Here is a 25,333-nt window from a genome sequence, read left to right as displayed (position 1 = left end):
ATTCACCATGAAATTGCCAGGATCTAGCCCCACCACTGTCCTCTCGAACTTATATGCAGTTCCACTAAGAGTGCTCAGCTTAACTGCCTTTGATTATGATGAGGGTAACACCAACCCATAATACTAAGGTGTCCACTGGGCTGCTGGCCAAGACATGCTAGCTCCTTTTTTTTGTAACTGGAAATCATTTACTTAACAAATATTTCCCAGAAATCAAATATGATTCAGTTACTAATTTGAAAAAAATTAAGTTATTTTGCAGAAGTATTCAATGACTCCATAACAACATATGTACATGCAAACATCTCTTAAGTAAACAGCAATTTTTAAGTAATATTTTTAAATGAAAATAAAAGGTATGAGACGAATACACAAATGATAAGCATACTGCTTGCTGAATTTTCACAAGGGGAGCACACCCATATAACTTTCACCCTGACCAATAAATAGAATATTCTAAACATCCAAAGCCTCCATCACCTCCATCACCCTCTCTTCCAGTCGCAAGCCCTCTCAGGGTAACATTATCAGAGTTCTAACACCACAAGCTAGTTAGACTGTTTTTGAACTTTATTTAAATGGAATTAATCAGTCTCTAATCTCTTGTAGTCTGACATTCTTTACTCAACATATGATTGTAAGATTCATCCACACTGCCACACGCAGTAAACGTTCATTTGTTTTCATTGATGTAGATTAGTCTTTATCAGCCAATTTCAATTAGCTTTATATATCAAACCTTGCATAGTTCTAAGTGCTTATAAAAGCAGGGGCTGTGTATTGACTAGAGGCAAGATCAACAATTTGCTGAACTTTTACATGGCTCTATTTATTCTTTCTCCTACAGGCTTCCACTGGCAATAGCCCAGACCCAGCCATGAAAACGGGCTTTCAACTGTGTATTTCTTTCCTCCCTTTTCCAGGTTCTGTCTCACCAATTGATACAGTTTGGATGTTTGTCCTCTCCAAATCTCATGTTGAAATGTGATTCCCAGTGCCGGTGGTGGGGCCTGGTGGGAGATGTTGGATCATGTGGGTGGATCCCTTATCAATGGTTTAGCACCATCCCCTTAGTGTTAAGTGAATTCTCGCTCAGTTCATGTGAGATCTGATTGTTTAAAAGTCTGAGACCTCCCTGCCCTTGCTCTCTTGCTCCCTCTTGCCATGTGACGTGTCTGCTTCCCCTTTGCCTTCCGCCATGATTGGAAGCTTCCTGAGACCCTCACCAGAAGCAGATGCTAGCACCACACTCACTGTACAGCCTTCAGAACCATGAGCCCATGAGCCAATTAAACGTCTTTTCTTTATAAATTACCCAGCCCCGGGAATTTCTTTACAGCAACGCCAAAACAGCCTAACAAAACAGATGCCAGTCACCTGGCATCTCCCCAACCACCTTCTCAACTTTACCCACCCTTCCCAAAAGTATGATCAGAGAGGTTGAGGTGTAATATTTTTCCTTTTCTGCCAACATAGAAAAAAACAAACTACATGTGCGGAGAATATTGCACAATTTTTCAACCCCTGCCTATGTTGGTCTTCACATTGAAGATACATGATTTTATTTAAAATACCATGGATATTCATACAATTATATACAAGAACAAACGTTTGTCCCCACATTTCAAAAAATGTTTAGGGTTTATCTGGGTGAATTTTTTTTCGATCACCTTAAGTAGGTAGAGATAGGTGAAATTAGACTCTAGTGAGCTAAAGTGAGGGCAAATATTACAACAAAACAAGGGATGCTGAGAGACAACATGTGTGGTTAACTTAGCCATGGAAAAAGCCCTGGAAATGGAAGAAAGTCTAACACGCTAAAAATGGAAGAAAGGAAGCACACCAAGCAATGCAGTCGCTCCGCCAATGTCATTAGGGCCCATCCCAAAGGAACACAAATAGAAATATTCTGGAATCTAGCGCCACTGATATTTAAACTCAATTTCCCGCAAGGTCAGGAATCATAGCGAGTTATTTGTTTTACTAACTTAGGTTGCAAGTGCCTTGGGCGGATCCTGTGCCTTCTTCTATATCGCACTCAGCGCCAAGAACACTGTTAGCCATCAACAAAACCATAATAGACCTAGAGCGTTTTCTAAAGGCCAACGAAAACACACGCTGAGCTAATGGAGACATTTACAGGCAAAGGATTCCGGTTTCCTTTCTGAAAATGCCACCAAGACAGCCTAGCTAATTAGGTCTTAGTAAATGACAGACTGACCAGAATGGTCCACCTGCCTTTATGTGTATACCAGACCATTTTTCTGCTAGCTTGGTTTTTATCTTTGCTTTTATTCTTCTAGCTATAAGTTAAAAGGTCTATTTTTGAAATGTCAAAAGACTTTCTCTGAGACCTGACTTGTGAGTTCACAGTGATTTCAGGAAAATGGGAATACAGAGCCTTAACATTGTAAAGAATGAATGTATTCACTTGGAGCTGTTCACTCATTCCTCTCCTACCCCTATTACCTTCCTTTTGGCAAAACTTCAAAAAATAATTTTGTCCAAGGCCACCCAGAAATGCAATGACAATTCCAGGGACAAAATTCAGATGTTCCATGCAAACTTGTCTCTTACCCAGCCTAAGAGTAATCATAATTTTTCCAATATTCCCATTATAGTTGTCCTCATGACAGTCTAACTCAACCCTTGTTTGTGTTTCTGAAAATAACCCAAATTGATGGAGATAGGCATTGCAAATACGGGACACTGAAGTAGCACAGACTCGAAGCCTAACAAGGTCTCTCCGTGAACAAGAATGACTTTGATGTCCACTAAGGTTCTGTAAGCCTCAAGAAAGACCACAGAAGATGAATGTTAATCACTGGAAAGCTCAAGAAAAATTAATGGAGCTTCTATTATAAGAAATCAGAATACAAATGTTTCTGTGTCCCTCACATTCTCTTCCTCCAAAATACTAGCAGAAAATGATAAAACTACAAGTCATAGACTTTATCTACCAAAAAATGAATAAATAAAAATTTTTGGAGAAGCCAAAGCATCAGCATAGAAGCCAAAACATACCAAAAACTTGTAATGCAGTATGACAGAGCAGAAAGAAAATGGACCCTATAAGTAGATATGTCTGATTCTAGTTTCATTTGTTATTAACATTGCAGTTTTCTAAACCTCTCAGTTTTATTTCCCCACCTATAGAATTAGGACTAATAATTATGTATATAATTATATATATAATTATATATATTCCAAGCTTTTTCAATTACAAATATGAAAACATTAATCCAAACTTGCTTAAGCAAAACAAGCAAATTAATTCATTAAAATAAAAGAAATATATTGAGTTAACTACCTGAAAAACCTAGGAGCCTCTAGCTTTTGGCACAACTGGATTCAGGTATGCAATGTTGTCAGGAAGTGATATGTTCCATAAGTCTGTTATTTTCTAAAATGGCTTAATTTTCAAGCATGTTTTCCCATCTTGATGGCTTCCAGAACTAAAGGATAAAATACTCACAGCCCCAAGTTCAGTGGAATAAAGACTTCTCCTTACCAAAAATTCTGCTTGGGAAATGAACCTCATTTACTCTGTGCAGTTATATATCCACACCTAGAGGCAGGACTAGAAGGAATTACATGCCATTACATGAAGAAGGGTAAATGGCTTCAGGAAAGGCAAAAGAAACCAACATCCCCTGCAATAACACACTGGGGTTGTTGCAAAAAGAAAAGAAGAAAACTCATCCCAGTGCCTGTAATTTTGACTAAGACAAATCATAAATTAAGTAATTCTTATTGCTGGACAAAATTTTGACATCCAGGAAATATTTCCCTGTATTGACCCCAGTTGAGGCACACATTACATGCCCTAATGGAACCTCCATGATGTACATAATGTTCTGCCAAAATGATAAGGGGTAATTAGGTAAAGCTGCAAGATGGTGAGATTTTAGCTGGATTGAAAGGGAGCAGAAGATTTATCCAGGCTAAGAGGCACAGAGAGGTCATTCTAATGGGAAGTAATAAAACAAGCTGATGACTATGTATTTTTTTATCTAAGAGACAGTGATGTCAGTAAGATGGGCATTCTAACCAATAGAAAATGGCATATGATGAAGTAGATGCGTGAATATTAGTAGAAAGATTGTGCATACCTCCAGCAAAAATAACATTTACAAAATTAAGTTGTTTAAAATGCAATTAGTGAGGAAAGATTTTTAAAGAGCTCATTCAACATAGTTCTTTGAAAAGATATTCCTCCTTAAGCTTATCTCCTTTCAGTGGGGTGGCCTGTGTACAAACATAAATTTGACAAATTAAGTTTAGAGCTCTTCATTATAAGACACAATTAACTTACTCCAATAAGAAGGATGATTTATTGCTTTAAGAATGTTAATAAAAGCCCCAGCCACAACTGAGAAACAAAATATACTTTAGAACAAGAATACTGTATTAATATACATGATGTGGGTTCTAACTAGGGTCAAAATGAGAAATAGTTCCTGGATTTCAGATAGAGGCCTGTCCAACAACAACCTTATTTTGAGGATTTCAAAGGTAGATTTCAAATAAATTATAAAAAGCAAGACAGAAACATTTAACCAAACGTGAAAAGAGACTTTTTAAACACATTAAGAGTGCCAACCATAAATAATTTTTGCAAGCAATATTAAGCCAGACTTACCATCCTTCCAGTAAAGCACCTACATCACACACTAAGAATCTTTATTTCTTCTGGCCATGATGAATTCATATGAGTTACCCCATTTTCAAAAAGATGTCTACAGAAGGCTCTCCTGGCAGCCAAAAGCAGTATTCTCTCAAAATAGAAACCTCTTCTGAGTTCGACTTAACAGGTCTGTTATGATAATCTCAGGGAATTTACCAGTCTGAGGAGCTTTATTACATGTAAATGTAAATTTCTTCCAAGGCTTGAAGAAATTCACTCCATATTTCGGGAAATGAACATGTGATTTTTTTTACGTGTTGTTTTAATAAATGAAACAATGGTTCTTTCTATGAGGCACCTTGAGCTACTGATTAAAAGCTATTGTATGTTTACAACGAAGCAAAAATGCATTCAAACACATCAATATATGAGACAAAAATTATTCAATAGACCCAAAGGCAAGTGAGGCTTGTATAGAGGCTAGGGTAAAGTAAAATAATCAATTCCTATTCCAGGTGGTGAGTGGTATTTGGTTTCCTGGCAGCTGAGGCAAAAATGGAAAGATGCCATGCATTACAAATTAATTACAATAGTTAGTACAGGTAGAGCAGCAGGGAGGCCTAAAGGTAAAGTTAGCACTTTGTTTCTCAGAACAGAGCTTTGATCTTTTCATGTGCACTTATCTGAAACCCCACATTCAGCACAACACAACATAACACACAAAGATTTAGTCTTGTTTAAGTTTAATCTTATAGCTGCATGTGTGTGCACGTGCATGTGTATGTACGCAGGTGCATGTGTGTGTGGCCATCTGTCTCATCTATAAAAGACAATCGATATATAAAACATAAAACTAGCAAACATCTCATTTTAAAAACTAGATCCCAAGAAGCCATCAAAATGAATTAAGAGTAAAATGCATCCCTGAATAAATCCACTGTGTGCTGAAAGTGACTGAATCCCTACAAAAGACATAATAAATTGACTTGTTGCCTGAGGATATTTAAGATTGAATGTCTACCAAATACAATAATGTTTTGTTTCGCAGAATTTTATGCTGAGTTGTTCTTTACAGACATAATATGCCAAAAGACCCATACTGCTTCCTAAGTTTACGCTTAGACAATATGACAAGGTTATCAGTATAAAGTAGGTAACTTGTATTTCTCTTTGTTGTGGCAGGAGGAGATAAAGTTGATTCATTTCATACTTGTGTCATGTTAATATAGATTTAAAAGACAGGTGTTAGAACTTTGTCTTTTTTTACCTCATTTAGGGCTAGATTTCCTTCAACACGAGCATATTTTTACTTGCTCTAATTTTGGCAAATATATTGAATGAAAGACATTGTAATACCTTAGGGACCATCTGGATTGACTGCCTGGATTGGTTGGCCCAAAGACACTTATTATCCAGAGAATCAGAGTCAGATGATGGAGCAATGATGAAGTTTACAAATGGCTTTGAGATGCCCTTAAACCTGAGGTATGTCAATGCAAGTGCATAAAAATAAATTGTTACATTTTCACTTTAAAATACAGGAATTGGAAAGACAATGTCAAGAGAATGGGATGACAAGCCACAGACCAAGAGAAAATATTGCAAAAGACACTTCTAATAAAGGACCTCTGTCCAAACATACAAATAACTCTTAAAACTCCACAATAAGAAAATGAACCCAATTTAAAAATTAGCAAAAGCCCTAAAGAGCCACCTCACTAAGGAATATGTACAGATGGCAAGTAAACATAGGAAAAGATGTTCAATATCATATGTCATTAGGGAATTGAAAATTTGAATAACAACAATATAGAACTACACACCTCTTATAGTTGCCAAAATCCAAAACACTTACCATACCAAATGCTGGCAAGGATGTGGAGCAAGAGGAACTCTCATTAGTTACTGGTTGGAATACAAAATGGTACAGCCATCTTGGAGGAAAGTTTGTCAGGTTCTTACAAAAACTAAACATACTCTTACCATACAATCCAGCAATCACACGCCTTGGGACTTACCCAAAAGAATTTTAAAATATGTGTCTACAGAAAAACCTGCACGTAGATGTTTATAACACTTTTTCTCATAATTGACAAAATTTGGAAGCAATGAAAATTTCCTTCAGTAGGTGAGTGGATACTGTGGTACATCCAGACAATAGAATATTATTCAGCACTAAAAAGAAATGAGTTATCAAACCATGAAAAACATGCAGGAGACTTAAACGCATATTACTAAGTGAAGAAAGATTTTAACAAATGTGCCACTCTGGTGTAGAATATTGACAATAGAAATGGTTGTGTATGTGTGGGAGAAAGGAGGAATATAGGAACTCTCTGTACTTTCTGCTTAATTTTGCTGTGAACTACAACAGCTCTAAAAAAAGTGTATTAATAAACAAAAAACATGATGATTTCCTATATTGCGTTGAAACCAACATCATAACTTGCTTTTTTCTCCTCTTACAGGGATAGAAAGAGTGGTTATATATTTATATTCCTCACTTCTCAAACAGCTGACTCCTAAGTTTTATTTTCTTCATTTTCTGTGTCCTACCATCTCTGTTAATGGCACATGTCAAATAACAAAAAAAAAAAAAAAAAAAGAAAAGAAAAGAATGCTGCTTTGAGAGTAGCAATCAAAAGCATTGTTTGAAAAGTGACCAAGATTATTTAAATAAGCATCCTGGAGACCAACTAGTTGAAACTCATTAAGAAACCTTGCCTCAGCCTTTCTAATCTCTTTTCTTATTACTCATCAATTCCAAATTCCATTAATCTCCTAGCCTGACTAACATGAGAGTTTTCCAGAATGATCTATCAGAAACACGTTCTTCTTCATGGTACTTCTTGCACACCTGTCACAGTCACTTCACCTCAGGATTGTTCAGAAGGCATGATCACATCCCCCACAAAGGACGTTTTCTTCCATCCTTGTCTCTTTATTAGATAGTACCCAGAAGTGCCCCAGCAGACTTTCACTCAATACTCACCGGCCTAGATTATTCTTCAACTGAAGTTGGCAAGTGATTGGCAAGAAAAATTACCCTGTTTGGCTATGATCAATTACAATTTATACCACAGGACTGAGAAGGGGGTTGGTTATGTTTACTTATCACATGGAAGAAAAGTCCAAGTATTATAAAGTCTCACCTAAAAGAAGGGGTAGAAGAAAACAAAAATGAAAAAGAAGAGGGAGGAGGAGAGCAAGAGGAGAAGGAAGAATAAAAGAAAGGGAGTGAAAATATCTTTGGGATAAATAACCAACAGCATCTATCTACAGTTTTATAAAGACAATTTCAGTAGAGTGTAAGATTTAAAATTCTATTAAAGCAAACATGGAGAGAAATTAGATGAGGAAATAAAGACAGTACACACAAACTATATTTTAAGGGATATTGATGTAAATGGGAAAAAGATATATCCAATAGTTTCCAGAGAAGAATATAGGGTCAAAGAAGTTTGAGTTAGTTTTAATTTTATTTTTAAGATAGGTGATATTGTGGCATATTTCTAGGCCAATATGAATAATCCTGAAAAGGGAAAGAAAATGATGTAGGAAATGTGAATATTACATGATCCAACTCCTGCTGAAAATGAGATGGAAAGGATTTAAGTTACTGATAAAGAGTTTTCTCTTTGCAACAGAAGTATGTACAACCTTTTAATAGAAGGGATAAGTCAGTAGCTGAATACAAATGCTGAAAGATTGATTGAATTGTTAGTAGGAAAAAATGATAGTTCTTATGCAACTATATTTCTTTTCTTTCTAAAGTGAGCTTCAGTGTTATGAAAAGAGAGTAGGCAGATAGAGATGTTTGCAATTTGGGGAGAGAGGAGAATGTGTGAGAATCTCATAGAGAAAGGAAGTGCATTTTCTTGAGAAATATTATGAGGAAGCCTAGTAACATTGAGATTTTTAGCAATATTTTTACTGTTATAGCATTGGCACAGAAGAAGTGGATAATTTGGTTGGGTGAGTTTGGGGTTTTGCCAGATAAATAGTATAATGGAGGGAAGATGAAGAAAAGGAGTTAAGGGTGCTTTTAAAAGAGTGTTACAGAACTAGCCCATGAAAATTTTAGGCTGCACAGGGGAAAGAGATGTAAGAACTGAATAGAGGTGACAGATGGTGAAAAGGAGTCAGGTCAATGGGTTTAAAGTTTGAATGAGGTCAAAGAATGTTTGTTTGGGGAATATAAAAGGACGTCACTGAAAAATTGAAGGTGTGCAGAAGATGGTCAGAGAAGAGGGTTGGAATTAAAATGTTGAAGGTGCTATAACTATTGATGATGACAAAATGGCTGAACTAGAATGCAGAAAAAGATAGTTGAAGCTAAAAATAGTTGGGACACCAGGAAGTGGGATGGACTATTCACTTCTTGGATTCATCACTTATTTGCTGTTAACCTTGGATAAGGTAGTTCACATCTATAGTTCTTGGTTTCTTCTTCTTAAAAAGGAGGATAATAATATAAACCAATTCATAGGGTTGTTGTGAAATCTAAAAATGTTCATTATGTAAAATGCTTTCGACAGTGCCTAGCATATCGTAAGCATTCAGTAAGTGTTGGTACTATTTGCATTTATATCATGTATTTATTACTTTATTTTTAAATGGTGAAGTTATTGAATATGTTAAGTATTCACTCTATAACAGGAACTGTTCTAAGCACTTATCTTTTTTTAAAATCTCATTTAATTATCACAGTGTCCTTACAGGTAGGTACTATTGTTATACTCATTTCATAATTCAAGCGACAGAGCATAGCTAGTAAGTGACACAGACATGCTTTTAATCAAATCAGTCTGCTTCCAGATTCTCTGTCCTGAAGCACCATCCTATGCAGTGATTGACAGTGGCATAGGTGAATCCAGGTGATGAGAACACAATGAGGAGAAGACATTTGGAGGGAGAGATATGAAAACAACAAGGAAGGGTAATGGATAATGAAGTCTATGACATGCACATCAAAGAATCTGGGGTTTTGAGGGAGGAAGGAAGAGAGACAGCCTGGAAGTGACAGTGGGGAATAAGGCTTACAACACACAGAAGCATTTCAAGTATTTCCGACCAAAGGACAATGTGAAAAAATAGCTTCAAATTTGGTCATCTAGTGAACTTGGCAGTTCCTTAGGATTCTGTCCTTGTCATTGTATTTTTATCCCAGGGAAAGTTCTTGTGAAATTCTTGCCCTCTACCCAATCTTGCTAAGAATCATACTCAGTTTAGGGGCAAAGCTACAAGGTTAATCAATCGGTTACCAAGATGATTTTTTTTTCGTGGTTCTCAGACCAGTTCCCGCATGAAAGCATTGTTTTAAAAACAAAGCAAATTCTCAAATATGGGGACTTTTCTGGTACATGAGATATTGCAAATAGTGTAATTATATACAACGTTCCTAATTCCATTTACTTACATGACAGGTTCAAAAATCAATCAATAAATAAACCAATCAAATGCTTTTCATAACCAAGTATTTATAGATGAGGGATTAGCAAAATGCTGCCAATGAACTAAATTCACTCTGTCACCTGTATTTACATGGCCTGAGAGCTAAGAATTACTTTTACAGCTATAAATGGGAGAAAAAAGTTAAATGACTAATAGTATTGCATGACATGCAAAACATATAAAATTAAAATTCTAAATGAAATAACTAAAATCTCATTACAAATCAGCATTAACAGATAACATTTGCAAAAACATTTTTGATCAGTTTAAACCCAGATTAAATAAAATGTTTTCCCCCCAAAGAGTTCCATTCTTATCTTCCCGTTACAGAAATGTGTATGTGATTATTATTATACTTTGAATTCCATCAATAAAAATCTTTTTTTGCTGTATATTTGCTATATAATCACCTACATAATATTCTCAATTTTGTCTTTTATCCTGAGGTGCTTAAGATATTTGATATCTGGACTCTTACAGAAAAACCTTGCTGATTTTTGGTCATAAATAATGAGTAGACAAAGTTTATATTACTGTAGGTATTATCATGTGAATATTGTGAATGTGATACGTGGGTGTCTGTGTATAAATGTAGCCATTTGATCACATATCATTCCACTCACAGACATTTATTGAGCACCTATTCTATGCCAGAAACTGTCCTGGGTGCTGAGAATACAAAGTTGAAAATAGGTAGTCATTGCTTTTAAGAAAACCAGTCTTATTATTTTATTGTGCTGGTAATTTTGATAAAATTTAAGAAGAACAAAGAATTTCTGCAAAATTTTCTTTTAAATGAATATGCCCTCTTCTTTCTCCAACTCAATTACCAGCTATTATTGGTTACTGAATTTTATTATTTTATAAAACATTTGATGAATTCACTGGTTTTCAGTCTCAGCTAGAAAATTTGAGTGGGCAAACAGGATATCTCTCCCGACTTTTAACTCCATTGGAGTAAGGTTCTTGTGACCTCTCTCTCCTATGCTTACCCCCTATTATGTCATTTGATTTTTTTTGGTGGGGGGGTTCCTGGCATGTTACTTGGATAAAGTCATCCAAGGTCTGTGTCTCTGCCAAGCTGAACTGAGCATTGTCAGTTATCATAGCAATTGTGTTGCTCATCAGCAGAATTGAGACCCAAAGCCATTTCCATAGTTTTCAGTAGCTAACGCTTATCCTTTTCTTTCTAAATTGTCTCTGACATCAATTGCCCTGCAGGATTTCCGTGTGGGTTTAGGGGATTGAACAGCCAATGAATTCAGGCTGTTCTTATAGCATGCAATCATTACTTGTGTTTAGCTTTCATAACAGAATCTTATCCAAAACCATCTCAAAGATGCCAAAACCAATCTGAAACCACTTCCTAGGTCCATTGCATAACAAGTGGATATGCTCTTCCCACCACATGATGAAGAGCGCTAGGCAGCTAGATATCTGATCATATGAATGGTGAAAGTATTTGTCTCGCTGTTATATTTAAGCTACAAAACTTGCAAGATTTCTGGTTCCACATTGTTTATTGAACATTTTTCTATTCACATTCATTGCTATTTCTTCTTTAATGCCTGAGAAGAGTCTATTGCTATCTCTTTTCCCTCACATCCTAGAGTGAGTCTAATTCATTAGCCCTCACTTTTAAATGCACTGCTTAAAGTACAGTGTTATTCACTAGGACTGTTCTACCATAGTTTAAAGTTACCGTTAGTAAGATTTTGCCATTTTTCTAAGTGTTTGCTGCTTCCAGGGCCTAATACTTATACATGTAAATGCAGGCATAGCCAGAAGGTGGAGTATTCAGTTCTTCAGAAATTAAGGGGTCTCATTTTTATGTTGAATCTGGACTTTGACCCTCAGATACCCTTGATCAACTTAACCAATGATTTTCCCTACCTAAGCACATTAGAAAAAAAGATAGAAAGAGGACAGAACACAAAAATCCCATGAATTTCCTAAAGCCAGAGTTCCCAGCCCTTGCAGTATTGCCATTTACTTCCAGTTTCTGTTTGATCCAGTCAGGCATCTGAGGCCTCTAAATGGATCCAATCTAGTTAATGATCAGATCCAGTACAATCTTGGACCCAGTCCAATTTCTGTCATGACTGCTGAACCCAGTTTAGATCCAAAATTTCCTCAAACTTGGAAAGCTCAAAATACAAATCCATGCAGCTTTGGAATCAGAGAACTTACCCATGATCCTCAGGTGCTACCAGAGGGCAGTGGACACAGTGGGCCTGGCAGGCATCTCACTTGGTGCTCCTGGGGGCTGCTGGGAGTCTATTGCAAATCTCACTCTGACATCTTCTCTAAGAAGGAAAACATTAGACAAATTAACTTTAACAGAGTTTAATTGAGCAAAGAACAATTCAAGAATCAGGCAGCTGCCAGAATCAGAGATGCAGGAGCTGCCACAATAGGAATTTCAGGGAAGGTCAAGGGCCTGGGGAATTTCCTCAGGTGGTGGTGATAGATGTCTTTTAGTTTACCTCCTAAATGAAGGCAATTTTCTCAGAATTTATTTTAGAAGGTTTTAGTGCCATTAGAAGTAAGTCTCCTACTCAATTTGCCTGGTTCTAAAACCAGCTTTTTCCAATTGTATAAGCAAATAAATTATTTTAGGCATTTCAAAAGACCCCTTGAGGGATATATATATATATAAAATATATATAACTTTTGTAGGAGTAGGATATTTGGGAATTCAGGCTTTTACCTACTACCTACAGATCAAGAAATAGGAGAGAAAGAAAAATGAGTATTTAAGGGTTGCTTTGACAGAAATAAAAGAACCAGGGGACACAAAGATTTTTTTTAACATATAAAAAGCTTTTTTATTTCCCAAGTGTCCTGTTTCCCTAGCTCTGTCAAACACTATTGAGCTTATCTGCCTGGGAAATAGCAGGGCTATGGGAATTCTTATTTGGTTCAGCAGCCACCTGTTACCCCAAATGTCTTCTGTGGTAGCAATGTTGATTCTGTCTGAATCCTGCATCCATGAAAAAGAAGTGCCCATTCTTTTCCTTTTATTTTACAAATACACAAAGCTGGGAGGTTGTGCTGTAGCCAGAGCACATTGTACAGAGAGGAGAGTTTGGCAATGCTGGAATAGGAAGGAATAAAATAACAAATTTAAGGCTGGAGGGGAAAGAAATTGGAGAAAAAAAGTGAGAGAAAAATTAAGTGTGCAGGGAGGGTGACGGTCACATCTAAACCTAATGGCCAGAGACCAGATTATGCAAATTCTTCCAGGCAGCTCCACACTCTGCTCCACCCAAGCACCCAGCCAATGAAAGAACATTTCTTCAATTGATTTTTCATGGTCTCTAAAACTGCCAGCATTATCTAAATTCTTTAATGGTATAAAAAAGAGACATTTTAACTTAATGAAATCAATTTAATGCCATTTTGATAAGAAAGTAATATATGAAGTGATTAATAAATTTGGGAGTTTGAGTTAAGCCCTATCTATACCCACTACCATCAAAATAACAGACTTCAATCAATTCCATTTAGTGCATACCATGTTTCTGGGAAGACATCACCATGCCCTCACCTGTGACATAATTCTTAGAGCCATTCAAGACTCCTCTATCTCTTTCACCATCTCTCCAAGCTTTGGCATAAGAAATTACCAATACAGGCAATGTCTGTTTCCTAAATATCTCTCAAATCTGTCCTCTCCTCTCTATCCACACTACCACTACTTCATCCTAGGCCATCCAATTCCTCATCTGGATTTCTGATATGAACTAAGTGGTCTTGTCTCCTGACTATGCTTTAAAGAGACAATTTGCTAACCTGCAAATCTGTTCTCATCATCTTCTTGCATATCTTTCTTTGGGGTCTCCCACAGCCCTCGGAATAAGGCTTACACATATCCCTATCCTTACAGGATGCTTCCTTAATGGCCTTTCCAGAACAATCCTCTGTCTTTAGGGGCTATCCATGCTATGCCACAGTGACATTTCTTCCAACGTTTTATGCTGTCTCATGCCGTTGGAGCTTTGTTGTGACACTGGATATTCTTGCCTATTTGTCTCATGAAACTGTGTGTTCTGTAAGTGTAGAGACCATGTCTTATTTGTTGTTGTAGCCATGGCACCTGGCATAGTGTTTGGCACATGGTAGAATGAGGCAAAAAACTGGTAACTTTTAAAACAAATCAACAATTTTAAAAGGAAGGAGTGTTTGTGAGCTGGATACAGGTACCATAGTCATGACTGTGAAGCTATCCCTGACTGTCCTAAGAAAAAACAATGGTCCTGAAAGTTTGGGCCAATGGGAGAAGGCTAATGTGGCTGATGGTCACCAGAAAAAAGAAAAAAATTAAATGCTTAAAAGCAAACAGTCACTCCTCTCTTCGGTCCGTACCTCCAAGATGACAAAGAAAAGAAGGAACAACGGTCACACCAAAAAGGGCCGCGGCCACGTGCAGCCTATTCGCTGCACTAACTGTGCCCGATGCATGCCCAAGGACAAGGCCATTAAGAAATTCATCATTCGAAACATAGTGGAGGCCGCAGCAATCAGGGACATTTCTGAAGCGAGCGTCTTCGATGCCAATGAGCTTCCCAAGCTGTATGTGAAGCTACCTTACTGTGTGAGTTGTGCAATTCACAGCAAAGTAGTCAGGAATCGATCTCATGAAGCCCGCAAGGACCGAACACCCCCACCTTGATTTAGACCTGTGGGTGCTGCCCCACGTCCCCCACCAAAGCCCATGTAAGGAGCTGAGTTCTTAAAGACTGAAGATAGACTATTCTCTGGAGAAAAATAAAATGGAAATTGTACTTAAAAAAAAAAAGCAAACTGTCTACTGCATAATTTTGCAGAGGGCTGGCCCTGTTGTAAGGGATGGCTCAAAAGGAAATTACTGCCCGACACAGGAGGAAAGAATACCAATTATTTTTCTCTTAAGCAGGGCCAGGCCAACTCAACAGAAAACCAGAGAGGATGGGCAATGCATTCCTGGAAGGAAGCTACTGGTGCTGGTGCCATCAGCCTGGTTGACGAAAGAGACATGATCTAGGAGCCACCCAGCTGAAAGCTGGTACACCACAGACAGACATGCTTCTTGGAAACGACCTCTGGCAATTAGGAATTCAAGCTTAGCCTCAACTTCTCAGATGAAGCCTTCTAATTTTCCTTTTCCCTCCCATGTGCTTCTTCCAGGAAACCTGCCTTGTCCTCTGTGGTAGTTGTGAAAGATCAAATGTGCCTTTTACCAAAAAGGCACTTTCATCTCCTCCCAACTCCTTTGTGTGTGTCCACATGGGATGGCTCATACAGGGACACTCCTAGGACCTGACATGGGGCCACCTGCACTCTATGCCTATGAGTGTTTGTGTGGAATGAGAGTACACAAAGTCAAGGTGGAACACCAGACCCACTAGTCTAAGACAGTAAATGATTATAGAATAATGTGACCATGAAAACCACCACTTTGAATAGAATTTGTCTGTGATATATTTTGAGCCCAGACAAGTTTTGCATGCTTTTGTGCCACTTCTTCATGATGTTACTCATGCTAACAACTAACTTTAACAAAAACTTTACCAGGAGAATAAGGCAAAATCAGATGTGCTAAGTGCACAGGAAGGAGACCAGAGCCCTGAGGCGTTCTTTTGAAGTCTAAGTACTGGTGTTTCAAAAGTTTAATGAAACCTACTAGACTCTGAGCAAAATTCGTTTTACGAATGGGGCCACAAGGGCACCATCAGCTTCTTGTCTGGCCAGAGGCAGATGTCAGGCCCCTGGAGACTCACAGCCAAGAACCTGAATCTGAGTCCACCCAGCCTGGCATGGCCTTCGTCAGCTTTCGTTGACTGGCAGGGGAGCCTGAGTGTGTCTGCAGCAGGGGGCTTCTGAGCATGCTCATGGTGGGGTGCTCACCCCACCACAGTTGTACCAGTGCTTATAACCATTACAGCATAGAATCATTCCTCTTCCACTTCTTTCTCCCCCATCATCTACCTTCCTTCTGGAAGGTAGGGAATTTGTCTCCATCATCTCAACTTGTCATCATTAGGTCACTCTTTCCCTCTAAACACCACTTCCTGTGCCTCACTGCTGGACTGCCACTATGGCCAGGGATCATGATCTAATTCAGCACATAAAAAGCAATTCATAAGTATTTGTTGATTATCTAATTTGGCTGATTTCATGTACTTGAATACAAAACTTGGGACATGGCAATATGTTATGTGTTGAAACTGTGTGCTCCGTAAGTGTAAAGACCATGTCTTATTTATCGTTACAGCCATGGCACCTGACATAGTGTTTGGCACACAGTAGAAGGAGGCAAAAAACTAGTAACTTTTAAAGCAAATTGACCATTTTAAAAGAATGGAGTGTTTGTGGGCTAGGTACAGAGATTACAGTCATGACTGTGAAGCTATCCCTGACAGTCCTAAGAAAACATGACGGCCCTGAATGAATATAAAACATGTCCAAAGTTTTGTCTTCAGGTACACTGTTGCTCCTTTCTGAAACCTTCATTTTCTCACATTAACTTAAACACTGCATGCAGATGGGGGATTTTGTCTACCCATGAGAGTTTGACAAAATGTCAACCCATGAGAGGGCTACAAAAGTACAGATGTTGTCAACCCTGAACATAATTTTGAGTTTGGGGAAGCAGTGACAATGTGGTCTAAGTGATTCTTCACTCAAGATGCTCACAGAAAAACATTCACAAAGCTCAATCAGTAGCCCCAATGAGGCTAGAAAATCAGGGTAATTCTGGAAATAGAGAGACCATAGGTTATATACAGAACAGCCATTGACAGATGATGTACTGTGTTTTATAAATCATAGGGTTTCTAGCCCACAGAACAACTCAGTTTCTTTGATTAACCCACAGTATTTTTAGCCATTGCACTGACAAGTTCCATGTCTGAATAATATTCCTCTTTTGCTTGCTCAATTCTTGTGTCTTCCGTTCTTCCTGCTGTGAAATGCTGTGTCTACTGTGTCTTGCTATATCACTACCATATTTACTTGTGTTTTTTCTGCCAACATGCTCAAAACCTGTTTTGTCCCCATCTGGGGGAAAAACATAACTTGAAAAAAGTAAAAAGAAAATTGTGTCTCTTATATGAATAGATATATTCCACTGTATTTTCTACCTCATTTTGAGCCCTTCCTGGTTACCAGGCATCATTAAGCAATTAACACATATTATCACATTTAACATTCACCACATTCACAGTTTAGGTACCTGTTATTACCTTCAGTTTAATTTGTGAGGAAATGGGCACAGAGAAATTTTCCCAATGTCATTTGCTGGTATATTGTAAAGCCAGAATTTGAGCCTAGGTCAGTTCGAACTTTTAACTCTTTGCTACTAATCTTCTATGACTTTGAAGTCTGGATCTTCATTTCCCATTGCTCCCTCCAATTCTGGCCATGTTCATCAATTTCAAAAGAATTCTTGTCTAATGAAATTGTGTGTCACATAAGAGCACAGAAATCATAATGATATAACTAAGACTGAAAGAATTTAAATGACTTAATGTAAGATGTTAAAGCTATTTTGTGCCATCTTAAATCAAAACTAAGTTTTTCCTGTCCTTCTGTTGTTCTTTTATCCTTCTTACAACACTGTGACCCTTATATGTTTCCTATTTTTTTAAGAAACAGAGTCTTCCTCTGTTGCCCAGGCTAGAGTGTAGTAGTGCAGTCATAGCTCACTACAGCCTCAAACTGCAAAGCTCAAGCAATGCTCTTGCCTCAGTCTCCTGAGTAACTGGGACTACAGGCAAGCACCACCACATCTGGCTATTTTTTTAATTTAATTTAATTTTTTTTTTTAGAGATGGGGTCTTACTATGTTGCCCATCCTAGCCTCTTGGTCTCATGCAATCCACCTGCCTCAGCCTCCCGAAGTGCTGGAATTACAGGTGAGAGCCACTGTACCCAGCCTTATTTTTTCTATGAATTTTTGGTGAGCAGTATTTCTTTTCCTTCACAGAAGCAGCCCTATTTTGGCAAAGAAGAATGAAACATCTCAGAGGCAGAGATCCAAATACACTTGACCCTTGAACAATGCAAGAGGTTAGTGATGTCAACGCCTTGTGCAGTTGAAAATCCATATAAAACTTTTGACTCCCCAAAAACTTAACTAATAATAGCCTAGTGATGACTGGTAGCCTTATTGATAACATAAACAGTTTGATTAACACATATTTTATGTTATATGTATTATATATTGTGTATCATTCAAAGCCATAATGCACACACCAGATAAATAAACCTTTTTGATTCTTAAGACATCTTGGTTATGAAGGATGATTATGTAAATGCAAGATGTGAATTTATACCTTCTCACTTTATAAGTTGCCCATAGGAATTCACTTGGTTGGTGGATGAGACTAAATACAAGCAAGCCAATGCCAAGCAAGCTTCAAATTGGGCCTCTTTGTTTTGGATGGCCTCCCACGCCCCTTTATCTTTCTCCTGTCTCCTGGAATTCATCTTCTTCCCTGCTCATCTATCACCTGTCTATAGTTTCTCACTGATTTGGCTGCCCAAGCACAAACAGTACCAACTTCCCTTTCCTCTACCCCTGTTACCCTCTCTCTTCTTCCTTTCCATGAATTCTCATTCCCTAAGCTGGATGACCTCACTTAAGTTTTTGGGGTTTTGAGATCTCTATTATTCTTTTCCATTTTTTCCCCTGTCCTTTGCTGAGAGCTGCCATGACCTTCCAATACCTTCTTCAGTCCACCCTCTAAAGAAGAATTCCAGCAGAACAGAGCCTTGCTGTAAACTGGGAACCTTTCCAGTACCCTTTATCTATGACTACTGCCCTATCAACATTTAAACTATCTGAATACTCTTCCTTCAAGTCTTGTGCTTTTGGGTGGTTAATGAACACTAAAATTACTAAACTAATCCCTGCAAATTTGTGAGCTTCCTAATACTTCACCTCATAGTAATCAAATTCAAAAGCACATGTGTATAGAAGACCCTCTCTAGGAGTGGCTGCATTTAAAGACAGCAAGATGGGTTCCTCAAATCTCGTAAGAGACCAATCACTGCTGGCTTCCTTGACCTCCAAAGTTAAGTTTATTCTTCCAACTCTTGATAATTACCATTTCATTTCTCACTGTGTCCCTTAAATTACTTGTTTCAAATAGATGGTTTATAATTTCATTAGATGGTAGTAAAAGCTCTATATGTCCTATTACTTATAGGGTTTATTTTTAATTTAAAAAGAAATGCAAGCTTGTTTTAATAATTAAGTATAAGAATACTGAAGAAAAGGTTAACAATCTCACTCTACCCCATTTCTACTCCATCAACTCTGATTAACCAACGTTAACAATTTGGTATGTATTCTTCTACCTTGTTCTCTATGATCCAAAAAATTATATCCAAAATAAGTACATATGTTCACACAAAGATACGCACATGTGTAAATAACATATATTATTGTACTTCAGACATGGGATCATTTTATACCTATGAATCTTTTGCTTGCTTTTGTTCTTAATAACATATCATGGATATCTCTCTGGTCATTATATCCTATATTATAGAGTTCTATAGTTTAGTCAAGCTTCTCTCTAATAAGAGATATTCAGGCTGTTTCTAGTGCCACTATAAATAACAATACAGGAAATATCACTGAGTATAGCTTTGCATTTAATTGCTTTTTAAACTGTAGGATGTATTTCCCAAATTGGGATTGCCCAGGTCAAAGAAAATGTACATTTCCTAAAGAAAGTTGGTTAGAGTAATTCCCTCTCTCATTAACAACATCTCAAAGTGTCCATATCCTTAGCATATTTATAATATGATTTTTAAAATGGTAAACATATTATTTGTTATAAGCATAGAAATGGGGTATGTTTGTGTGTATGGGGGCTTGTGTCTACTATAGAGAGACCCTTAAAACTAGGGGCCTGAGGTGGAAGGAATGAAAACAGTTACTTGAGGGCCACCTTTAAAGATGTATACTAAGATTTTTGTATGTGTTAAACCTGGTTGAAAATACTGACAACGACCCTTCTGGGAGCATAAAGATAGAGGAGGTAGACATTCTAGGAAACATGAATGCAGCCTTTAGAATGGGTATGGAAAGAGGGAGAATGTTGTTATTAGCAGCAAATTGCAAAACAAGCAGATTGCTCTAATTTAATGTCTGTATATGGATAATTTGTCCAGTTTCTTTATTTTTCCTACCCATTGTCAATCTGTATGGCCATTTGTTCCCTGAAGTAGCTCAGAGTACACATGAGAGGCAGTAGAGTGTATAGTTAATAACAATGATGGAAGTAGTAACAGGAGTTAATATTGATTGAGTGCTTGCAATGAACCACACATTCTTCCACGTGCTAAGTCCAATTCCCTTGATATCGCCATGCACTGCACCACCAACATGCACAAACTTCCTATATTCCTAGAATGTCCAGTTGGTCCTAGCCACATACATGCATTGATGGGATGCCCTGTTAGGAGTTATATTTGAATTTGGCCCCTTCTGCCCACATCCTCATCTTTCTGCTCCCTTTCTCTTCTCATTCCCCTTCTTCTCACCCACAGTGCTCCATAGAAACTGCTAAGGTGAAAGTTGCCAGGTGGCCTCTATATGGCCAGATCTAATGAACACTGTCTTCAGTTTTCTCCCCTTTGATATTTGGCCACTGTAAGTCTTCATGAATACAACTCTCACGTGTCTCATCATGCATATTAACCCTCTTGCCCGGCTTTCCTTCATTCCCCCTTTCTTCTTCTCTATTATCCCCTTAAAGGCTGGTCTTCTCCAGGATACGAAATTTGAATCCTTTACCCGTCTATGGAAAACCCAATCCATATCCATGAAATCAAATACAATATATAGGCTGCCAATACACAAAGCTAAAACTCCAGGCCTGAATCCTTTCTGATAACCATATCTTTATCTCCAACTACCTAGCCAAAGGACCAGATATATCTATCTATGATTAAAATAAAATTCACTTTTTTCCTTTAAACAAGCCTATTTTTCCTTCATACTCTGTATATCATGACTATCCAGCTACTACTCATCTTACAAATCTAAAAACATCATCCTAAATATCTCCTTCTCTCTCAACTCCAAATAATAGCAGTTATTTATTGGATTTTGATGTGGGGCCATATTATTTTTATACTTTGATTCGTTTCATTAAAAAGTGTCCCACAAATTAGTGGCTATAATTCCCACTTCACAGGGGATAAAGCTGAGTCTTAGAGGTACTCAATAACTTGACCCAAGTCGGACAGATAGTACAAGGCAATATGGGATTGAAATGAAATTCGATCTGACCTAAAACTCCTTGTATTTTCAACTGCACTGTGTGACTGCTCACCCAGTACTGATAGTAATTATAATAACCAATGTGGATTGAATGACTATGTTTGAAACACCAGATACTGAGAAATTTTCACAAATTAACTCATTTAACGCACACAGAAGCTCTATGATTTAGATACTACAATCCCAGTTTACAAACGAGAAAACTGAGATTCAGAGAATTTAAAACTTGCCTTTTATGAATAACCCAACTAGTAAGCTATAAAGTTGTAGTTCCAGGACTCAAAACCAAACTCTCTAAGCTTCTGGGATTTTCCTCCCCAAAAAGCACTTTAATCTGCCTCTCTGTCTTCATCACCACTGCTAGTACCCTGGTTCGAACTCTCATCATTTCCCTCTGCCTTTCGTCTCCTACTCAATTCCCATTGAACCTACTACATTTCATACATGGCTGCATCATTAGCACATAAGACATGATTTTCTAACTCTTAACTTCTCAGGGACTTCATGACGTTAGGTATTTCATCTTATTCGTCTCTGTTTCCATCCAAACATTGATACATTTTAGATAAATGGATAGACAGGTGCGTATCCTCCCCAACAATCAGGATGGCTTATTTGTGAACAAATCTCTAAGGTTTCATCCCCAGCCACCATGTGCAGAAAGATAAACAGATTGAAAAAAAGGAAAAGTAAATCAGTACATTGACACTACCATAGGCAGGTTAGTAATTCTATTCCTCATTTGACTTTCTCTACTAGGTCATTAGCAAGACAATTTACAATGAAAACAAAGATAGTAAGTCCAATTTTAAAATTATTTTTCTTTCTAAAGTTGGGTCTCACTTTGTTGCCCAGGTTGGTCTTGAAATCCTGGCCTCAAGCAGTCCTCCCGCATTGGCTTCCCAAAGCTTTGGGATTACAGGTGTAAGCACTGTACCCAGCCAAGTCAAATGGAATACAGGCTTATTTTTTATTTGTTTGTGTTGATTAAAAAAAATAAGGATTTCCAAGTGAATAAGAACATGGAAAGAATATATTTCTTTACTGTATGATCATACCTAAACTGACATCTTAGCACTAAGTATAATGAAATTATCCCTGTCTTTAAAACTTTAACCATAATATATCACATAGTGTGGATAAGATCATGTTATATGGTTGTAATAGCGTGTTTTTGGGGGATGGGGGAGGAGCGGGGCACAGATTTTCAGAGATGTCAACTTCCTGTAAATTAGCATACTGGTGGGAATTTCAAATAAGTTTTCAAATTTTATAAGAAATCGGCTAATATCTACCCATAACACACAAATTTGTAGCAACAAAATAATTGACTCCTTTGAAGAAGACATTTTTCCCTTCCCACAGGTATATCACTGAACAGCCCTGAACATGGTGAGTCTAAAGAACAAAAGAGTAAAAGGAAACAAGCCCTGGGCTTCTTCCCAATATGCCAGGAAAGAAACAGCAGCAGGACTTTAAGAACACTGGAAATTGGTAGGACAATGACCTGTTTATAAAACTCAGTTTATTCTTAAAGAAACACTTGATTCTATTTCTCTTGATATCTCAAACTTTGCTAACTTCTAAAGATGGCCATTCAAAAAGAGCACGTCTAGTCATCATTCGCTTTGTGTGGAAAAACATTTTTTACTCTACTTCAAATAAAGATGGAGCACCTTATCTATGAACAAACCACTAAAGTTTTATTCCTGGCCAATTTTTTTTTCTTTCAGTGAAAAAAGAATACAGAATTTGACATGTTATGAGTTAAATCCAACTGTTCTCTCTTAAAATAGTAAGACATTTTGATCCTCATTATCTATATCTGAAATGAAAACTGACTTTTACTTTTAAGCTATCTTTCTCCAAGTTGCTGGAAACCTTTTAGATAGCATCTACTTCACTATGTCAGAACTTTTAAAAGACAAAGGGATAGGCCTGGGATTGAAGTGGTTTCAAATCCATGGCTTACACTGATGTGTCAATCCAGGAAAATTCAGAATGGCCAGTGTTTGAGGGTTGAGCCCTATCCTTGAGGATCTGTGTCAATGAAATCTTTGGCCTAAGGGTCACTGGTGGAGCTTAGCTATGCCTTGGAAGCCAAAGGATTGGCATGCTGTGTAGCCATGTATAAAACAGTTTTTAAAAGTATTCTTTGTTTTAGAGGTTTGCTATTAATTCTGACATTAAAAAACCTCCTGAAATACCTTAAATAGAAACACAAGTATAAATGTGGAACTTGAAAAAGCTTTGTTCACCCAGCCTCTGATGCCTCAACTCTATGAACTATAGGTCTCTTCTTCTTTATCCCTTTCTCTAACAATAATGACGGTGTCCTTTGACTGCCCATTGCCTAAATGCTGCCCCCCAATATTCTGTCATCAACCAAGAGCTCTTCTACTTCTAGTCTTCCTGCCTCCCTGTCTTAGTCAATTTAGGCTGCTATTACAAAAATATAAACTGAGTGGCTTAAACAACAGAAATTTATTTCACATGACTCTGGAGCCTGAGAAGTCCAAGATCAAGGCACCAGCAGATTCAGTATCTGGGTCATAGATACTGCCTTCTTACTATGCCTTGGTATGGTGAAAATGGTGAGGCATTTCTCTGAGGCCTCTTTTTATAAGGGCACTGATCCTATTAATGAGGGCTCCATCCTCATTACCTAACTACCTCCCAAAAGCCTCATTTCCTACTACCATCATCTTGGGAGTTAGGATTTCAATATATGAATTTTCAGGGGACACAAACATTCACATCATAGCACTCCCCAAATTACTGTTTTCATAACACAGCAAATTGCATGTTTCACAAAAAAGCAAATATAAAGAAATATATCATTCCTCACCATACAATTAATGGCTCCTTATCACCTACAAAATAAAATCCAAGTCCGTGAGCATGACTCTCCATGAACAAGTCAAAACCGTATGTATTAGTCTGTTCTCATGCTGCTAATAAAGACATACCAGAGACTGGATAATTTACAAAGGAAAGAGTTCTAATTGACTCACAGTTCCACATGGCTGAGGAAGCCTCAGGAAATTTACAATGATGGCAGAAGGCACCTCTTCACAGGGTGACAGGAGAGAGTTGATATCCGAGCAAAGGGGGAAGCCCTTTATAAAACCATAATTCTCAGGAGAACCCACTATCACAAGAACAGTATGGGGAAAGCTGCCCCCATGATTCAATTATCTTCACCTGACCCCTCCCACAACATGTGAGGACTATGGGAACTACAATTCAAGATGAGATTTGGGTGAGGACACAGCCAAACCATATAATTCTGCCACTGGCCCCTCCAGAATCTCATGTCCTTACATTTCAAAACACAATCATGCCTTTCCAACAGTCCCTCAAAGTCTTAGCTCATTCCAGCACTAAACCAAAAGTCCAAGTCCAAAGTCTCATCTGAGACAAGGCAAGTCCCTTTTGCCTATGAGCCTGTAAAATCAAAAGCAAGTTAATTACTTCCCAGATAAAGTAGAGGTACAGGCATTGGGCAAATACATCCATTCCAAATGGAAGAAATTGGCCAAAATAAAGGGGCTACATGCCCCATGCAAGTCTGAAATCCAATAGGGCAGCCATTAAACATTAAGTTTCCAGAATGAATTCCTTTGACTCCATGTCTCACACCTAGGTCACACTGATGCAAGAGGTGGGCTCTCACAGCCTTGGGCAGCTCCATCCTTGTGACTTTGCAGAGTACAGCCGCACTCCTGGCTGCTTTTACGAGCTGGCATTGAGTGTCTGCAGCTGTTCCAGGCATGTCATGCAAACTGTCAGTGTATCTACCATTCTGGGGTCTGAAGGATGCTGGCCTTCTTCTCACAGCTCTACTAGGTAGTGCCCAGTGGGGACTCTGTGTGTGGGCTCCAACCCCACATTTCCCTTCTGCACTGCCCTAGCAGAGGTTCCCCATAAGGGCTCCACCTCTGCAGCACACCTCTGCCTAGATATTTAGC

At 37.9% G+C, this 25,333-nt stretch overlaps 1 long non-coding RNA gene and 1 pseudogene across 1 annotated transcript; both read left to right on the top strand.

Moving 5' to 3' along the window:
• RPS26P35 (ribosomal protein S26 pseudogene 35) lies at positions 14,424-14,873 on the top strand (annotated as a pseudogene).
• Positions 18,049-23,057, top strand: LOC124902007 (uncharacterized). The gene is made up of 2 exons (XR_007061074.1): positions 18,049-18,133; positions 22,728-23,057. It is a non-coding gene; the product is annotated as an uncharacterized LOC124902007 (long non-coding RNA).
• The last annotated feature ends 2,276 nt before the right edge of the window (positions 23,058-25,333 follow it).

Source organism: Homo sapiens, chromosome 8 (genome assembly GCF_000001405.40).
Source record: "Homo sapiens chromosome 8, GRCh38.p14 Primary Assembly".
Classification (NCBI taxonomy): Eukaryota; Metazoa; Chordata; class Mammalia; order Primates; family Hominidae; genus Homo; species Homo sapiens.
This window is presented reverse-complemented; position numbering and strand designations above follow the sequence as displayed.